The 18810-nt window shown below is 48.2% G+C and overlaps 1 long non-coding RNA gene across 1 annotated transcript in view, besides 1 other annotated feature; it reads left to right on the forward strand.

Annotated features, from left to right (window-relative positions):
* Nucleotides 1–360: 360 nt before the first annotated feature.
* LINC01804 (long intergenic non-protein coding RNA 1804) overlaps nucleotides 361–18810 on the forward strand; it is a 28180-nt gene continuing 9730 nt past the window's right edge. The window contains exons 1-4 of the long non-coding RNA NR_110201.1: nucleotides 361–446; nucleotides 523–677; nucleotides 9969–10114; nucleotides 10808–10954. This is a non-coding gene — a long non-coding RNA (long intergenic non-protein coding RNA 1804). The remainder of the gene's footprint in view (nucleotides 447–522; nucleotides 678–9968; nucleotides 10115–10807; nucleotides 10955–18810) is intronic.
* Nucleotides 3423–3923: an enhancer, noted in NCBI's record as "H3K4me1 hESC enhancer chr2:15833968-15834468 (GRCh37/hg19 assembly coordinates)". NCBI's record gives its function as "activates a minimal SCP1, AML or CMV promoter by ChIP-STARR-seq in naive H9 embryonic stem cells {active_cell/tissue: H9 hESC(naive)}" and the evidence as "EXISTENCE:reporter gene assay evidence [ECO:0000049][PMID:30033119]".

An 18810-nucleotide genomic window follows, 5' to 3' on the forward strand; every position in this document is an offset into this window, starting at 1 on the left:
TGAACCCAGGAGGCAGAGGTTGCAGTGAGCTGAGATCGCGCTGCTGCAACTCCAGTCTGGGCGACAGAGCGAGACTCCGTCTCAAAAAAAAAAAAAAAAAAAAAAAAGAGTGACCAGCCTGTGCTTCCTCAGCCTCTCCCATGGTCCCCTCCTCCGCTGGCCCCATCTGAGGAATGTGTGCTGCCCAGGGCTGAAGGGCCAGGTGCTCCGAGCCAGGCTCTGACAAGGGCTGTTGGCAGAAAAGGTTTTCTAAAATGGCTTCTATAGCAACCAAAGAGCGGAGAGAGGCAGCAGCCTGGCTCCTGGTTGGCTTAGGGATCGCGGGCTGTACGGAAGGCGGCAGCAGCTCTGCGCCTGCGCAGTGAGGGGAGCGTGCTAGAACAGGAGGGTGGTTTGGGAGGGCTCTGCACTTCCTCGTCCCCCACCTCGCGTTTGAGGAACGCGAGGTGAGAGTAGAAAGGAAGGCACCTGGCCTGCAGCCTGCCTCCTTTCTTCCACAACCTTGGCTTTATCTCCCACCAGGAGGGGACCTCATGGAACATTCCGGCTTGCTAGTCCAAGCTCCGTCCGTTCTGACCCCCAAACAGTCATCTCTTTGCCACGCCTTGGACCTAGGAGTGAGTACCCCGTGACCCAATCAGCCATTAGGAGCATAGACCCTGGAAGCAAGCTCTGAGGTATTTGGGCGGCAGGGCATTCCTGGGTCCTGGGTTTATGGAGCACGATCCAGGGACTGGGGAGGGACATAGGCTCGGGGTGGCACATTTCCTTGGCCCAGCAGGTTCTGCTCTCTGTAGGGAGGAGCGCTGCTGCAGGGAGACCCGGCGGGACCTCCAGATCTCCAGGGAGGGCAGGGCCTGGTTGCCTGGGTCTACGCATGGTACTGTTTATAATCTGGATCCCATCTCTGTGTTGAGCAGCAGCTTCAGGCTGGAGTTTGGAATGTGGGACTCTCAATCTTATGACACTAGATGCCTTCCAGTGTGGGTGGCATTCCAGGGGTCCTGCTGATGACTCCCCAAGAAGTAGTAATTGAGACAGCAGCCATTGCTGGGGGTCTCTCCCCGTCCCCCTTGTCATCTTCCTGGTGGTCCTCGCTCTGAGTGTGCCATTTAGAGTGACCTTGGGCAGGTCGTGAAACCTCCCTCAGCCTCAGTTTCCTAGATTGCCCCAGCCTGCCCTGGCTCTGGCTTCCTTCTCCCATCACTCTGGGGCGTATCTGGCTTTGTGCTAGAGAGGCAGCAGGCTTGGGAGAGCCGCAGGCTTGGAAGGGCCGCAGGCTTGGGAGGGCGGCCGACTAGACAGTTGGTTTCATTCACTAGATTGTCTTCACAGCCCAGTGCCTGTGCAGGATAAGTGCTGGCCTCCTTGGAGGTAGGAACCACTTGTGACTCACATCTTCATGCTTAGTGTGCATGGGGGAAGCTCAGTGAATTTTGTGACGTGAGAGAATGAGGGAAAAGAGCTCCTAGATGGAGCCCAGCCTGAGCAGTGTCCACAGGCCATGTTGGGACAGAAAGTGGGACAAATGTTGGAAAGCTATGCCCTTACCAGTTTTTATCCCTTGGTACAAGGCTAAGGGGTAAATACTTGTGGTATTCCAAAGGAAGCTCCAAGTCACGTAGAACTGCCAGGCCAGGGGTCTGGCAACAGTGTGGGCAAGCAGGCCTTCCAGAGTTGGGTAATGCGAGGGTGGGTGGAGTTTGAGAGGCGCAGATGATGATGATGAAAACAATTGCGGCAAACTGGCATTCCCATTTAGGGCACTCCCCAGGCCCGAAAGGACTGCTCTTCATTGGCACCCAGGCCCTGCTGGTGATGCTGAGGGCTCGCTCCCCTCTGCCACCTTGCAGAGGTGGGCACATTGAACTGATGGCATTTCTTAGGAAAGTCATTTATTCAAGCCCAGGAGAGTGCCCTAGGCAAGCGATCTCCAGGATTCTCAGTCGGTTTACATACAGGTGTGTTCCCATGTGAGCTCTTCCAGGTCTTTGATTGAGAGGAGGAGAAGCCCACGGTTGACTTGGTGAAAGCAAGGGTGTTAGGGTTGCCTGAAGTGCGTGAGTCGGACACCAGCGCTGCTCCCTGCTAGCTGGGCCACCTTGATGAAAGGACTGGCCTCTGAGGAATCGTCGTACCTTCTCTGTGGCTTATTGGGAGGATTAGACAATAACGCAACGTCATGCCATTGGAAAGTGTCTGGCAGCTGTGATATTTAGCTTCACTGAAGGCCACCAAGTCATATAAAGGTGGATCCTAGGGAAGCCATGTCCCCATATGACCTCTCTCTGTGCTTTGCAGAAGACAGGGACAGCCAGCTGGCCTGAATTTTGGGGATGACCCTTCTGTCCTCCAAAATACTGCCTCCTGGAGCCCAGAGTTTATAGTTCCCGGGGCCCTGCTTCTTGCCAGCATCTTGTTTCATTTTCACACCCTGCCTTTGAGGTCACTGACATCTCCACGGTGTTGACAGAGGGCAAAGAGAGCCCCGAGACACATCCCCGGTAGCCCAGGAGGTCGAGTTGGAGCTGGAACCCACATCTCCGGTTTCTGGGGTCTTCTTACTCTACAGTGGCACTCACTTAGGAAACAGCGCGTCACATTTTTCAGTTAAAATGGTGTTTTGATGGGCATGATCACTTAAGCCTGTAATTGTAGCTACTTGGGAAGCTGAGATAAGAGAATTTCTTGAGCCCAGGATTTTGAGATCAGCCTGGGCAACATAGCAAGATCCTGTCTCAAAAAAGGGGCGGGGGGCTTTTGAGTTCCTGTTGTCCCACTTATCCATTAATTGGTCCACGGCTTTCTGGCCTTTCACTGCGTGGAAACCATAGTTGGGCCCTGGCTTGGTGCTGAGGTAAATAAAACAAAATAGAAGAGAAAGACTGACAAGACCTCCAAGGGGAGGAGAAGGTAGTGTGCAGTGCTGGGACTGGAGGGAGTGAGTGAATGGTCCAAGCTCACAAATAACAAAGTTAGAACCTAAAGCCACATTGACCTCATCCCTAAACTAGTGCTCCTAAGTCTGCAGCTCCTATTCAAAGACTCAGGCTTAACCCGGGAGGCAGAGGTTGCCACTGCACTCCAGCCTGGAGACAGAGCGAGATTCTGTCTGAAAATAAGTAAATAAATAAATAAATAAATAAATAAATAAATAAAAGACTCAGGCTTACAAGAAGATATGGAGGAACCTTAAATTCCCAGCAGTAAGTGAAAGATGCCAATCTGAAAAGCCTACTTATTCTATGATTCTAACTATATGACCATCTGCAAAAGACAAAACGATAGCGATAGTAACAAGGTCAGTGGCTGCTAGGGGTTGAGGGAAGGAGGATAAATAGGCAGAGCACAGAGGATTCTTAGGGCAGCAAAACTATTCTGTGTGATCCTACAATGGTGGCTCCATGGCATTCTACATTTGTACAAATCTATAGAATGTACATTACCAACAGTGAACCCTAATGTAAACGATGGACGTCAGGTGATGATGTGTCAATATACGCTTCATTGATTTTACAGTCATACTCTGGTGCAGGATATTGATAGTGGGTGGTTGTGAGTATGAATATGTGGGAACGGGGTGTATATGGGAATTCTCTTTACTTTCTGCTCAGTTTTGCTGTGAACCTAAAACTACTGCAAAAAAATAAAAAATAGAAAAGACTCAGACTTTAATTACGGAAGAGAAGCTTTCCCTTACCCCAGCTTGGCAGATTCTGCTGAGGGGCCGGGGTCTCCTTGGAGAGGCAGCCTTGGACAGCTGTGGGTCCCCGCTCCCCACCCCAGTCTCAGGCCGCGCCCGGGCTGGCTGTGTGGAGAGACGTCTGTTGTGGATCCCCCACACTACTTTCGCTTGCTATAAAGCAACACTGGGAGTGAATTTAGTGGTTGTGAAATTTAAAAAGGCAAGTGCAGAGCTGGGAGGCATTTCCTTAAGCACAAAGTAATGAAGTGGCCCGCCGGCCGCCCAGCACGCGCACATGGTTAGGGTTAGCAGCAGCTGCAAAGCCACTCTGCAGCCCCCAGGGCTCCTCCCAGCGAGGGAGAGCCCCTCCCTTAAGGAAACCCTAACACAGGCCTGAGGACTCCTTTCACACACAGTGCTTAGGAAATTGAGTAGCACCAGACAGCGTCCCTTATTGAAAGTAAATGCCCCCTGCTCTCATTCTTTCAATGATTCAGTTACGTCTTCATGTATTAATCAGTAGAGTTGCTCTTCATTCATTTCTCGCCTATTTACTGAGGACCCATCATAGGGCAAGGACCGGGCATGGTGCTGAGCACACTCAAATGAATAAAACACTCCTGGTTGGAGGAACTCACACACTTGTGCAGAGACAGTCACGGAAACAAAAAATTGCAGGTCAGCAAAATACATGCCATTATGTAAGTATGCGCCCAATAGTGGGGCCCAGCTGAAGGACTGACCAGTACTGCCTGGGAGGGTCACGGCTGGTTTCAAAGAAGAAGTGAGCTTGAGGAACGGGCAGGCAAAGATGCAGGGCTGGACATGGACAGGTCAGTGTGGCTGAGAGATAGAGGTGGGGCAGGAAGGTGAGTAGGTGGCCCTTGAATCTTAGGAAAGCTGAATTTTAAAAGTGTTATAAGGACGAGCGATCCTATCACAGATAGCCCCGTGTGCCACGGGTAGGAGTTGGGATTTTGCTCTGCAGGAGACAGGAGCCATTGGCAATTTTTACTTCTGCTCTCTCCGAGCCAGAAACGAGAACCTTTGCCGGCCCTTCAGATGTGTTTCAGCTTCCCTGTCCATTGCCCCTTGCATGAGAAAGCCCCTTGAGTCTCCAGAGGCTGCAGCCTTCAAGGGTCCTTCAACAAGATCTGGCACCTTCTTGAGGCTGAAGGTGGATTTTCTTTTCCCAGACCCTCACCTGAATTCTCTGGTGCCTTTAAACTGCTGCTCCTAAGCCGCTCCAAACTTTTAGAATTCCATCTGGGACCCGGCCCCCAGGCTCAGTGAGGAATTGTCAGAAACATCTGCTCAGGCCCAAGAGCAAGACCACTTGTAGCCACCTGTCAGTCCCTCTGCCTGTTGCTTTGCTTTAAGACAGTAATTGTTAATGCTTTTCAAGGAAAACACTAAGGCCCACGAAGCAATGGAAACCTTTGGTAGCCTGAGTCCTTAGGGCTGGGCTCTGGTGCCCTCATGTCCCAGGAGGCCCTGGCACACCAGCCACAGGGGATGGTAGCCTGACCTGGTCTTCCAACCTCTGGGTCTGCAGGGGTGTGTGTGTGTGTGTGTGTGTATGTGTGTGTGTATGTATGTGTGTCGCATCTCTAGGCCTTTGTTACTGGAGAGAGAGGCCCATAGGTGGCCTTCACCACATGCACCAGGGACCCTCACATAAGGACAAATCAAGCGTGTGGTGGGAGGAGGAAGAATCCATTCCTTCCCTCCTTGGACAGCCCCTAAAGCTGGAGATGCTTTGACCATTAGCCACTATTGTGTCCGGAATTGGTGGGTTCTTGATCTTACTGACTTCAAGAATGAAGCCACGGACCCTCGTGGTGTTGCAGTTCTTAAAGGCGGTGTGTCTGGAGTTTGTTCCTTCTGATGTTCTGATGTGTTTGGAGTTTCTTCCTTCTGGTGGGTTCGTGGTCTCACTGGCTCAGGATTGAAGCTGCAGACCTTCACAGTAAGTGTCACACCTCATAAATGCAGTGTGGACCCAAAGAGCGAGCAGCAGCACAATTTATTGCAAAGAGCAAAAGAACAAAGCTACCACAGTGTGGAAGAGGACCCCAGCATGTTGCCACTGCTGGCTGGGGCAGCCTGCTTTTATTTTCTTATCTGGCCCCACCTACATCCTGCTGATTGGTCCATTTTACAGCGAGCCAATTGGTCTGTTTTACAGAGAGCTGATTGGTCTGTTTTGACAGGGTGCTGATTGGTGCATTTACAATCCCTGAGCTATACACAAAAGTTCTCCACCTCCCCACTAGATTAGCTAGATACAGAGTGTCGATTGGTGCATTCACAAACCCTGAGCTAGACACAGGATGCTGATTGGTGTGTTTACAAACCTTGAGCTAGATACAGAGTGCTGATTGGTGTATTTACAATCCCTTAGCTAAACATAAAGGTTCTCCAAGTCCCCACCAGATTAACTAGATACAGAGTGTCTATTGGTGCATTCACAAACCCTGAGCTAGACACAGGGTACTGATTGGTGTGTTTACAAACCTTGAGCTAGATGCAGAGTGCTGACTGGTGTATTTACAATCCCTTAGCTAGACATAAAGATTCTCCAAGTCCCCACCAGACTCAGGAGCCCAGTGGATCCTGCACTGGGGTCGCAGGTGGAGCTGCCTGCCAGTCCCGCGCCCTGCGCCCGCACTCCTCAGCCCTTGGGAGGTCGATGGGACTGGGCGCCCTGGAGCAGGGAGCTGCACTCGTCAGGGAGGCTCCAGCCGCGCAGGAGCCCAAGGCAGTGGGGGGAGGCTCAGGCATGGCGGGCTGCAGGTCCCGAGCCCTGCCCCACGGGAAGGCAGCTGAGGCCTGGCGAGAAATCGAGCACAGCAGCTGCTGGCTCAGGTGCTAAGCCCCTCACTGCCTGGGGATTGCTGGCCGGCCGGCCTCTCCAAGTGCGGTCCCGCTGAGCCCACGCCCACCTGGAACTCGCGCTGGCCCGCAAGCGCTGTGCGCAGCCCCGGTTCCCGCCCGTGCCTCTCCCTCCTCACCTCCCCGCAAGCCGAGGGAGCCGGCTCCGGCCTCAGCCAGCCCAGAGAAGGTCTCCCATGGTGCAGCAGCGGGCTGAAGGGCTCCTGAAGCATGGCCAGAATGGGTGCCGAGGCCAATGAGGCACCAAGAGTGAGCGAGGGCTGCCAGCACGCTGTCACCTCTCACTATTAGGCACTGTAAGGGTCTATACACTTTTTGGGAGCCTACAAAAATGTTTCAGGGCTGAAAAATTTGCTGCAAAATACATAAACAGCAAATTAAAAACAAATTCAATAGCTTTAGGGGTATAAGTGGCTTTCGGTTACGTGGATGAATTGTATAGTGGCGAAACCTGGGCTTTTAGTGTACCTGTCACCTGAATAGTGTATATTGTGCCCAATAGTTGATGTTTTATCTCTCACCCCACTCCCCCCACCCAAGTCTGAGTCTCCAATATCCGTTATACCACTCTGTATGCCTTTGCGTACCCACAGCTTAGCTCTCACTTATAAGTGAGAACATGTAGTATTTGGTTTTCCAATATTCTATTTATTATTTATTTATTATTTATTATTATTTAATTGGAAGCCTACAACACATACCAATAGTCAGCCACAACTACACTCATTTAGAATTACATACATAATTTGGGAAGCCTGATAGTCTATAGAGCTACAGTTTCCTTACTGTGAAAAAAATCAAGGAATTTCTTTTGAAAGGGGTGGGGCTTCCACAAGTTAGAGCAGCCAGGCCTTCTAAAGGCTTAAAATAATGGCCAAGAGTGGCCAGGCGCGGTGGCTCATGCCTGTAATCCCAGCACTTTGGGAGGCTGAGGCGGGCGGATCACAAGGTCAGGAGATCACACCATCCTGGCTAACACGGTGAAACCCCCTCTCTACTAAAAATACAAAACAAAATTAGCCGGGCCTAGTGGCAGGTGCCTGTAGTCGCAGCTACTCAGGAGGGAGGGTGAGGCAGAGGCAGAGGCAGAATGGCATGAACCTGGGAGGCGGAGCTTGCAGTGAGCTGAGATTCCGCCACTGCACTCCAGCCTGGGCGACAGAGCGAGATTCTGTCTTAAAATAATAATAATAATAATAATAATAATAATAATAATAATAATAATAATAATTGCCAAGAGCTAAGGATAGAGAAACACGGACAGCTCTAAGCAAGACCCAGCATCACTGTGCTAGCTCTGCCCTCCCTGCCGAGAATGCAAACAGGCTTTCTGCAGCTGCTCCCATCACCATCATTACCGCTATTAACCTTACTGTGCAGATTTTAGCTTATTTTCAAATATGCCACCACCATCGCGGCTGTCAATATCACATTACTGTATCACTACCACAAACACCACCATTATCCTACCTCTGCCTGGCTACTCTCACCCCCACAACTGCAACTTCTAGAATTGCTACCCTGCAACAGTAACTTATCCCCCTGCCTCCATTACCAGCGCCATTGTTGCAACTAACAACATTATTACCCTTAATTCTGTTATTTGCTCACACGTAAGTAACACTTTCTAGTTTACAGAACTCTTTCATACCACTGAACGCATTTGGTCCTGCTCACACCCTGTTGAAGCATCACATCACAGGCTGATTTGGGTCATTTGGTACCTACGCTGGTTAGAACGTGTGGACTCCCAGGGAGCTGTCGAGAAAGGGCTGCTCAGGGTGTCTTTAAGGCTCAGCCACATCCCATTGGTCAGAACCCAGGCACGTTTCCCCAGCCTGACGGCAGGAAAATGGGAGAAAGCTTGGGAGCACTTGGCTCTTTGGTGAGCATCAGCTGCCTCTGCAAGAAGCAGGTGTCTCTGGAGTGTGGAGGTGGAGCTCTAGAAGGACCAGAGGCCCCATGCCCTCTGCAATGTGGGGCAGATGAAGAGCAATGAAATGATGACAAATTATGGACTTGAGGGATGAGGTTCCTGCTATGACTTCATTTTATTGTACTTCCCGTGCTTCTGCACCTCCTGGCTCACTTGAACAAGGCCCTCACGTAGTAGAGTTCCTGATTAAGGCAGAGAGAGCGCTTAGATGGGGATGTGACTGCCTAAAGTCACACAATGAGAGACTGTTAGAACCGGCGCTGGAGCCCATGTGACTACTCTCCAAAGTGAGGCCTTAGGTCAATAGCAGTTGCCCATCAGTCTCCCTTACACAGAACCCCAATTTGCTCAGGTGTTAGGAGGCCATGTACACAAGGGTAAGTTTGATTCTTCTGCACTCCCTAGAAGAGAACCTTGATTGGTCTAAGAACCAACAATGCTAGTTCTATCTCCCTGGCCAGTAATTTTTTTAAAATTTTACTTTAAGTTCTGGGATACAAGTGCAGAATGTGTAGGTTTGTTACATAGGTATACATGTGCCATGGTGGTTAGCTGCACCTATCAACCCGTCATCGAGGTTTTAAGCCCCACATGCATTAGCTATTTGTCCTAATGCTCTCCCTCCCCTCATTCTCCACCCCCTCATTGGTCCTGGTGTGTGATGTTCCCCTCCCTGTGTCCGTGCCTTCTCATTGTTCAACTCCCACTTATGAGTGATAACATGTTTGGTTTTCTGTTCCTGTGTTAGTTTGCTGAGGATGATGGCTTCCAGCTTCATCCATGTCCCTGCAAAGTACATAATCTCATTCCTTTACATGGCTGCATAGTATTCCATGGTGTATACGAACTACGTTTTCTTCATCCGGTCTATCATTGATGAACATTTGCGTTGGTTCCATGTCTTTGCTATTGTAAATAGTGCTGCAATAAACATATTGTGTGTATGTGTCTTTGTAGTAGAATGATTTCTATTCCTTTGGGTATATACCCAGTAATGGGATTCCTGGGTCAAATGGCATTTCTGGTTCTAGTTCCTTGGGAAATCACCACAGTGACTTCCACAATGGTTGAACTAATTTACACTCCCACCAACAGCGTAAAAGCGTTCCTATTTCTCCACAGCCTTGCCAGCATCTGTTGTTGCTTGACTTTTTAATAATCATCATTCTGACTGGTGTGAGTTGGTATCTCATTGTGGTTTTGATTTGCATTTATCTAATGATTAGTGATGTTGAGGTTTTTTTCATATGTTCAGTAATTTTTTGAAATCAAGGAATGGCCATGTGATGCAATTCTGGCAGATGAGAATTATAGGAGCTCTCCCAGAGGCTCCCAGGGAAGATTTTTCTGAAAGATATCTACACTGTTAAAAGGGCGCACAAGGAAGAGATGCACTTCCTTCTGGTCTTTTGACATTGTTGGGTGAGGCTGTGATGTTTGGATCTATTGCAGCCATACTGGGAACATCAGGAGAGCCTGAGAATAAAATTCACTGAAGGTGGCAGAACAGAAAGACAGAAGAAATCTGGGCCCATGCCGATGTCATTAAACTGCTTAATTAACCAGCCCTGGAACTGCCCCACTTCTGGACTTATTATGTGAGATACATTTAGTTTAATCTTTCATTTTTGTTTTTATATTTTTTAAATTGTTTAAGCCACCTTTGAGTCTTTTGCTTGCAGCTAAGAAAAATAAAAAATGCTTCAATGACAAATATTCCGATTTTATTCTGGGCCTTTGCCCATGTTATTCCCATCAACAGAAGTAGGAATATTTTCTTACTCATCTGGTGAACTTGTCTCTAAAAATCAGCCCAGATGTTACTTCCTGTAGGAGCCCTTCCCTGAATGTTATTGACCAAAGAGTTTATTATTTACCATTTCCTTCTTTGTGTCCTCAGTATCCTTGGTCCCTATTTGTACTTATTGTACTGTATATTGTAATGTGCTTGTCACCTATTTCTTGCCACCACTATATCTTGAGGGCAGATACAGGATTTTAGTTACTGTTTCTCCAGCTCTTAGGACAGAGGCTGGCACAGAGCAGACCTCACTAAGTAAGTGTTTGAATCAAATCCAGTGGCACAATGCATGAGAAGTTCGATTAGCTGTAAAGCAAGAAACATCACGAGATAGTATTAAGTTGATAAATGAAGTCACTAAAGTGTTTATTGCTTTTTAATGGGCTTCATTCAACTAAATAGATACTTATTTGACCATTGATGTGGCTATCTGTGTAGCCAATGGACAACAGATGTTTTCTGACAGTATTTTTCTCCTCTTCCAAAACAGTTTTAAGGACAGGATCCCGGTCCAGTCTCCTGACTGCGTAGAGATCCCTCTTCTTCCCGAAAGGCAGTGGATGTACTTGAAAGGAGACTTCACGGACATTCCCAAGGAGACCTGCATTTTAAGCCCAGCTCTGTCTGCACTTGCTGTGTGAGTCATATCATGCACTTCACTTTAATCGTCTGTAAAATGGGTGCTATGGTTCTGTTAGCAGTGGAACATATCAGAGACACAGCACCAAACTGTCTTAGCAGCGGTGAATCCTTACGGGTCTGCAGCAACCTCTATTCTTGCCTCCTCAGAAGAAATAATTCAACTGGGGGGCATAAGGCAGAAGGAGAGACGGAGGCAAGTTTTAGAGCAGGAGTGAAAGTTTATTAAAAAGCTTTACAGCAGGAACGAAAGGAAGTAAAGTACACTTGGAAGAGGGCCAAGCCGGCGACTTGAGAGATCAAGTGTGCAGTTTTGACCTTTGATTTGGGGTTTTACACATTGGCATACCTCCAGAGTCCCACATCCCTTCTCCCCTGAATCTTCCCTTGGGGTGCACTGTCTGCATGCGCTGTGGCCTGCTAGCGCTTGGGAGGGGAAGCATGAGCGGTGTGTTTACTGAGTTGTACACATGCTCACTTGAGGCCTTCTTCCTAGTGGAAGGTCATATACCAGTTAAACTCCGCCATTTTGCCTCTTAGTGCACATGCTTCAGCCCACTCGCCCAACTCCTGAGATCTTATCAGGAAAGTTGCTGATCACCAGTTTCAGGTGTTTCTGTCTAATGGAAGACTGCCTTTCCCTGGCCCTGGCTGTGACCAATTATTAGAGAGACAGTTTATTATTATAATAACTACCTGACCATCACCTGATGGTTGCCTGACATTCCTGGTGGGTGGGGGTCCTCTCCTGCCCTGCTCATCTCTATCTGATGACCTACTGTAACAATTCTGCTGCAACTACTTACCCAAATGGCCCTGAGACTTCTGGGAGGCCAAGAATAGGAAATCCTCTTTGTCCAATGTCAGATGTTGTGTGTGTATCCTTGGCTGGACAGTTGTTAGCACCCACTACTGAGGATGCACTCAAGTTTTTTTTCTCTTTTCTTAGAGACAGGGTCTTGTTCATTTGCCCAGGCTGGAGGGCAGTGGTATGATTACAGCTCAATGCAGCCTCAAATCCTAAGCTCAACTGATCCTCCTGCCTCAGCCTCCCATGTAGCTAGGTTGACAGATGCAATGCCACCAAGCCTGGCTAATTAAAGAAAGAAATTGTAGAGGTAGAGCCTCAACTCTGCTTTTTCATTTCGTTTTGTTTTATTTTTTAATTTGGATATTTTCACATCTAGAGCCTTTTACTGACCCTGGAGGGACTGCTTCCCAGACTTTGCCCTCAGGATTGACCAAGTCACAGAGATAGTAAATGATTCAATTGCAGAGTGTACCTTTCTTACGCAGGCCAACAGATGCGGTGCTCACATACCAGTACCTCATAATCTGGGCCATTCTCCACCTGCCCTAATCACCCCAAGACCAGTACCAGGCAACTAGGGACAGCCGCTATGTCCCAGAGTCCACTAAAACCATCCAAACTTGCCCATTCTAAGCCTGCTTACCCTGTCTTGCCCATTCCTTCCTGAGAAATCCAGAATAGAGGCTCCTGCTGGCATTCTCCCCTTGCTTCCTCTGCCTCCCAATGGACCTTGGTTCCCCGTGTGGCCCTGAATGTGCCCCCTTTTTTGGGAACTGTGAGTAACAAACTGTCATTTCAATGGCAATCATCTTCTGTTCCATAGTCTTCCCTTGTATTAGTCTTTTTCCACACTACTGACAAAGACATACCGAAGATTGGGAGGAAAAAGAGGCTTAATTGGACTTATAGTTCCACATGTCTGGGGAGGCCTCAGAATCATGGCGGGAGGCAAAAGGGACTTCCTACATGGTGGCAGCAAGAGAAAATGAGGGAGAAGCAAAAGCAGAAACCCCTGATAAACCCATCAGATCTTGTGAGACTTATTCACTATCACTAGAATAGCACAGGAAAGACTGGCCCCCCGTGATTCAGTTACCTCTCTCTGGGTCCCTCCCACACAACACATGGGAATTCTGGGAGATACAATTCAAGTTGAGATTTGGGTGAGGGCACAGCCAAACCATATCATCCCTGTACCTGAATAATATTAAAACCTGCATTAAAAGACAGCCGTGTAAAGCAGGAAGCTAGTTGGTGGGGATAGGAGTGGGAGAGGAGTCCCTCCCTTCTTTTTGAATTTGGGCATTGGGGCATCTCCCTGATTATACTGAAGAAACACTCAGCAAGGAGCATGCACTACTTTTAGCCCCTGCAGCAACCTAGTCCAGCTGAGTGGCAAAAACTAAGGCAACAATGTCCCTTGCTCAAAAGGCCTCCTACACCATTGAATCATTGTGGAATGTTGAGGAGGAAGGGACTTCTGGTTGTGAATTTGATTCTTTCAAATAGTTGATGCCTAAACCCAGATGCCCTATGGAGAGCTGATTAGAATCCCCTGCACAATTGACCAGAGGCTTTGGGAACCTGAAGGGAAGTAGGCACCCAAATTTCTAACCCTCATCTTCATGCTAAGTAAGAGCTGAAGTCTGTTCTCTGGACTTACTTTCCTGAAAGACTTGACTTGTAAAGGCCATTTAAAATCCATTTAAAGGGAAGGAGAGTGCTTAGGAGCCCTGTTCTAGCTCCAGGAGGCTGATGGCCACTGCTCTTCCAGACAGAATGATGAGTTCTCTGTGGAGGAGTGTCTGTACAAGATCACTGACTGTGGGCTCTGAGACCTCTGCTCCATGGATGGAGGGCAGTCGAAGAGGCCACAGGGGCTGCTGGTCTCTTAAGGGCTCACCAGCTTCCCCAGGGAGGCTGGGGAGGGGGAGGAGGAGTAGTAATGGTCCTGTTGAATTTGGTCTAGCAGTTGGAATATCCTCCTGACTGTTGGGCACAGCCTTCCTGGGACCTGGAAAGTGAGGTGGAACTAGTTTGGGAAGAGCTTAAGCCTGAGCCTCCCAAACAAAGGAATGAGGCTGATTCATCTTCTCCTGGATCTTTGTTGTAAATATCAACCTCAATGGCAATTTGGAGCAGTGGTTCAGGAACTGAGCTCATCTGAGCCTCAGGAATCTCAAGCCAAAATAAAAAGCATCTGGTGCTTCTTGAAGTGGCTTATCCTGGTTCCCAGAGTCCCCCTCCAGATGCCAGCCTTGGGGGGCTTTCAGGACCTTACCCTGGGACCCCCAGTGTCCCTCTGTTGTGCCTGAGCTCAGTTCCCCAGACTTGCTCAGCAGCACCCCGGCCAAGCCTCCTGCCCTCAGGGATGGCCAAGGCCCTCCTGGAGCCTGTTTCAAGGATAGACACCAGGCCCTGTGCTGGTTTCAAAGTGTATCCTTAGAGGGGAATAAACATGTTCTAATCAAAACAAAACACTTCCAAACGGGAGTTTCCTGTTGGAATTTCCTGGCAGCTCCCAAGGCAGTTGTGATTATGGAAACACTCACTGATTTTTTTCTTCTCAAGGGTGTGGAGGGCATATGACAATGATAGTCTTAGCTTCCCCTTTCTCAACAGGGATGACAACTACAGTTATCAGTGGGGCCAGCCTGAAATCGGATGGTCAAATCCTATTACAGTAACCCAGGGCTGCCACCCTACTCCTGGTAATGGGAGGAATTAAAAACTGCCTGCTGACTTGTCTTGGTTAATGGGCTGCAGGTTCCTCTTCTGGAAATTGGAGAGTCTTAGAGTAACCTGGAGGTGAGAATCTGGGAGTTCTCTTAAATGTCCCCCTTCCCTAGCACACAGTGTCAATGACCAAGTCCTGTGCTTCTATCTTTGTAAAATGTCTGGATTGGGTTCTTCTCTGTTGTTGACCCAGATCAGACCCTTGCCATCACTTAACTGGATAATCTCGACAGAGTCTCAATTGGTTTCACACACTTTCCCTCCAATGTACCCTCCACCCATATGCTGGGTTGATCTGACCACACTCCAACCATGCTCAGTATCCTGCCCAGAATCTCCATCATCTTCTGGGTGAATCCAGTCTTCTTTGCTCAGCAAGCAGGGCCCCCGCCTGCCTCTGTATCTTGGCTTCTGCTACCCCATCCCTTCCCCAGGCCCTAAACTTGCCAGCCTGCTTTCTCCCCTGGTGTTTCCCTGAATGGGCTTTCCCTGGGTCTACTTACTATGTGTGTTTACTAGGGATGCTGTAACAAAGCACTGTAAATGGAGTGGCTTCAACAACAGACATTTATTGTCTCACAGTTCTGGAGGCTGAAAGTTCGAGGTCAGCGTGTCAGCAGGGCCATGCTCCCTCGGAAGGCTGTAGGGAAGAATATGTTCAGGCCTCCGTCCTAATCTCTGTAGTTGCTGGCAATCTTCAGTATTCCTTGTCTGTAGAAGCATTCTCCCTCTGATTGCTGCCTTTATCTTCATGAGGCGTTATTCTTGTGTGTGTGTCTATGTCAACATTTACCCTTTGTATGAGGACACCAGTCATATTGGATTAGGGCCCACTATCATGATCCCATTTTAACTTGATTCCCCCTGTAGACATTCTACTGACAAATAAGGTCACATTCAGAGGTACTAGGGTTTAGGGCCTCAACATCTGAAAAGGAGGGGAGGACAATTCAACCTGTAACACTTTCCTTTTAAGAATTCTCTTTTCTGACCTCTTTTCTGTCCTTCTGCTCCCCTCTGGAAAAATTAGCCACTTCTTCTTCTATCCCTTACTGGAGCCTGTACAAAAGACCATCAGAGGACCTAGAACTTGGTTTTTGGCCTATGTGCCTGTTTCTCTTACTCATTAGATGGAGTTCCTTAAAGACAGGGAGACTGCTTTATTGCCCTATATCCCCAGGACCCAGAACAATGCCAAAAATACAGTAGGTGCTCAGTGTTTGCTGGATAAATGAATGACTGAGCACATGAGGTTCTTAGTAAAGATGCAAGTTGGCTGGCACTTCTCCCACTTCAAGTCCCTCTAGGTCCCCCACCTTTTCTCTGTTCCTGCCTAGTCTCCCTTCCATCAACGATTCCCAATTCTGACTGAGTAATCTGCATAAAACACAAAGCTGATTATGTCATTCCCCAGTGTCAATGGCTCACCACCGCTATCGAATCAAATCTACACTCCTTACATTGTAGTTATTTGTTAGCAGACTTATTAAATAGATTACGGAGCATCCATTTAATGGAATCTTATGCAGTTGTTCAATGTGTGAAAAGAATGTTTCATTAGTGAGGGTTCTCCAGAGAATTTACTTACATGATTATGGAGGCTGAGAAGTTCTACTACCTGCCATCTGCAAACTGGACAACTAGGAAGACAGATGGTATAATTCAGTGCAAATCTGAAGGCCTGAGAGCTGGTTGTGGGGCAGAGGGCCAGGGGCCACTGGTGTAAGTCCCAGAGTCCAAAGGCCTGAGAACCAAGAGTTCTAAAGACAAGAGAAGATGGAGGCCTACCTCAAGAAGAGTGAAAGAATGTACACTTTTTTTTCCTGCCTTTTTGTTCTATCTGGGCCCTCAGTGGATTGGATGATGCCCATCCACATTGGTGAAGGTAGATCTTTACTTATCTACCTATTCAAATGCAGATCTCTTCTGGAAACACCCTCACAGGCACACTCAGAAATAATGTCTTACCAACTTCTGGGCATCCCTTAGCCCAGTTAAGGTGACACTTAACATTAACCATCACAAATGTCATTGACAGAGAAAATGCATATAAGCGGGGGCTACTTTCAAAATAGTTAAAAATAACTAACCAGCCAAAGCACAGCATGGCCCAAACAACTTCTAGCAATAAACAACCAGCACGACAATGAGTACTCATCATCACCCTGGTGTTAGGACACAGCAATGAACCCACAGTGTGGGCCAGGCAGAACTTTAAAATGGCCCCAAGGGCCCTCATCCCTGACTTTATTCCTGAGGTTATGCTATGCTGCCTGGCAGGAGAGAGGTGAACCGGGTGTGCCTGATTTGATCACAGGAGCTCTCTAAAAGTCAAGCATTTTCTTTGGCTGGTAATAGGAGAAAAAGCCAAAGACATCTGAAGCACGAGAAGGATTTAACATGGCCTTACTGGCTTTGAAGGTGGAGGGATCTCAAGCAGGTACTGGAGAGAAGCTTCCAGAAGCTGAGAGAGGCCCCCACCTAACAGTCAGTAAGGAAACTGTGACGCCGGTCCTACAGCCGCAAAAAGCTGAATTCAGCCAACAACCTGAACAAGCCTAGAAGGGGATTCTTCCCCAGCCTCTAGATGAGAATCCAGCTACCAACACCTTGACTTTGGCCTGTAAGACTAAGCAGAGAATCTAGTTGATCTTACCTGGACTTCAAACCTAACAGAACTGCGAGATAAAAGGATGCTGTTTTAAGCCACTAAGTTTACGGAAAATTGTTATGCAGCAGTAGAAAACTAATACAAAGCGGGATAATCACTTTTATTTTTATTTTTATTTTTAATAGAGGGTCTCACTCCATCACCCAGGCTGGAGTGCAGTGGCATGATAATGGCTCACTGCAGCCTCAACCTCCTGGGCTCAGGTGATTCTCCCACCTCACCCTCCCAAGTAGCTGTGCCGCCATGCCTGGCTAATTTTTTTTTATTTCTTGTAGAGATGGGGTTTCGCCATGTTGCCCAGGCTGGTCTCAAACTCCTGGGCTTAAGCAATCTGCCCACTTCGGCCTCCCAAAATGCTGGGATTACAGGTGTAAGCCACTGTGTCTGACCAACCACTTAAAAAAAAAGAGAGAGAGAGAGAGAGAACTAAAAAAACACCAACACATTAACAGTGGTCTGCTTTGTGATTGGTTTTTCTGCTTATTCATTCTTCGGTGGACTTTCTAGTGCTTTATAAGATGTATGCTGTGCTTTTACAATGAGAGAAAAATATCTTTGTCTTGGCTATCTTTTTCTTTTTAAGATCTAGCCTTCTCAAGGACAGAGGCCGATTGATCTTTATGTTTGGGCAACAGATATTTTAAGAAACAAATTCAACCTTCCAAGCCAACATGGGTTTGCATTTCCAGACGTGATCTCTAATCATAGCAGTACCTCTAAAAGTTTGGTATTATTATGCCAAATTTATAGGTGTTGAAGTGGACTATAAATTGGAAGAGACCCCAAGCGGTTGAGTAACCTGATCTGAGATCCCACACCTAATACGCATGGAGCCTCACAACTGAACCCAGGTTTGTTTGGCCTCTGCCTTTTCCAGCACACTCCATGCTTCCCTCTCTCCAGATCACCCACACCTGCTTGTTTCCCAGTCTCCTGGGGTTTGGGTTCCATCGAGTTACCCTCCTGGAAATAAGCTGGGCAGAGAGTGCCTTGTGATACAAATTCTTCTCCCATGGTGATGGCTTCTGTTTCTGATTCACTTTGTAGACCAGAGGGGCCAACTAATGCTGCTCTTTAACCTCACATTCTGCTTAGCGGCATTGCTGGTGCTGCTCTGCATCCAGCCTGGAGCCAGGAGCTAAGGAGCCTGAGGCAAATGACCAGTCCTTATTCTTGAGAGGTCCCACCCCATGCAGACCAGCAAGCACAGCTCCATTTCCCAACTCCAGCCCTGCCTCTGCTCCCAAGACGGGACCACAGGCAGGCACATGGTCACATTTCATCTCTGGTGACCTCTACACCATACTTAGATATGTCCACCAGAAGCCCGAGTCTCCTTGGTGTCTTCACAACAGGGGAATGGCTAGTTGTGTGAGCAGGGCTCAGATAGCCCTGAGAGGCCCTATGCAGAGGTTGAGAGGGGGTGCACCACTCCCCAACTCACCATCACTCTATGCCTGTGTTTATAACAGATTTTAAACAATTCTTATGCTGTTGACAGCCCCCATAGAAAGGCAGCTGCACGGCCCCTCCTTCCTGAGCTGACATCCCTGTTTAAAGAGGGACATCCGGGTTTTTCTTTTTCCTCTCTCTCCTTTAAAGTGAGGTTTGAAAACAGCATAGAGCTCTCCCAGCC

This window comes from Homo sapiens, chromosome 2 (assembly GCF_000001405.40).
Source record: "Homo sapiens chromosome 2, GRCh38.p14 Primary Assembly".
NCBI classification, from domain to species: Eukaryota; Metazoa; Chordata; class Mammalia; order Primates; family Hominidae; genus Homo; species Homo sapiens.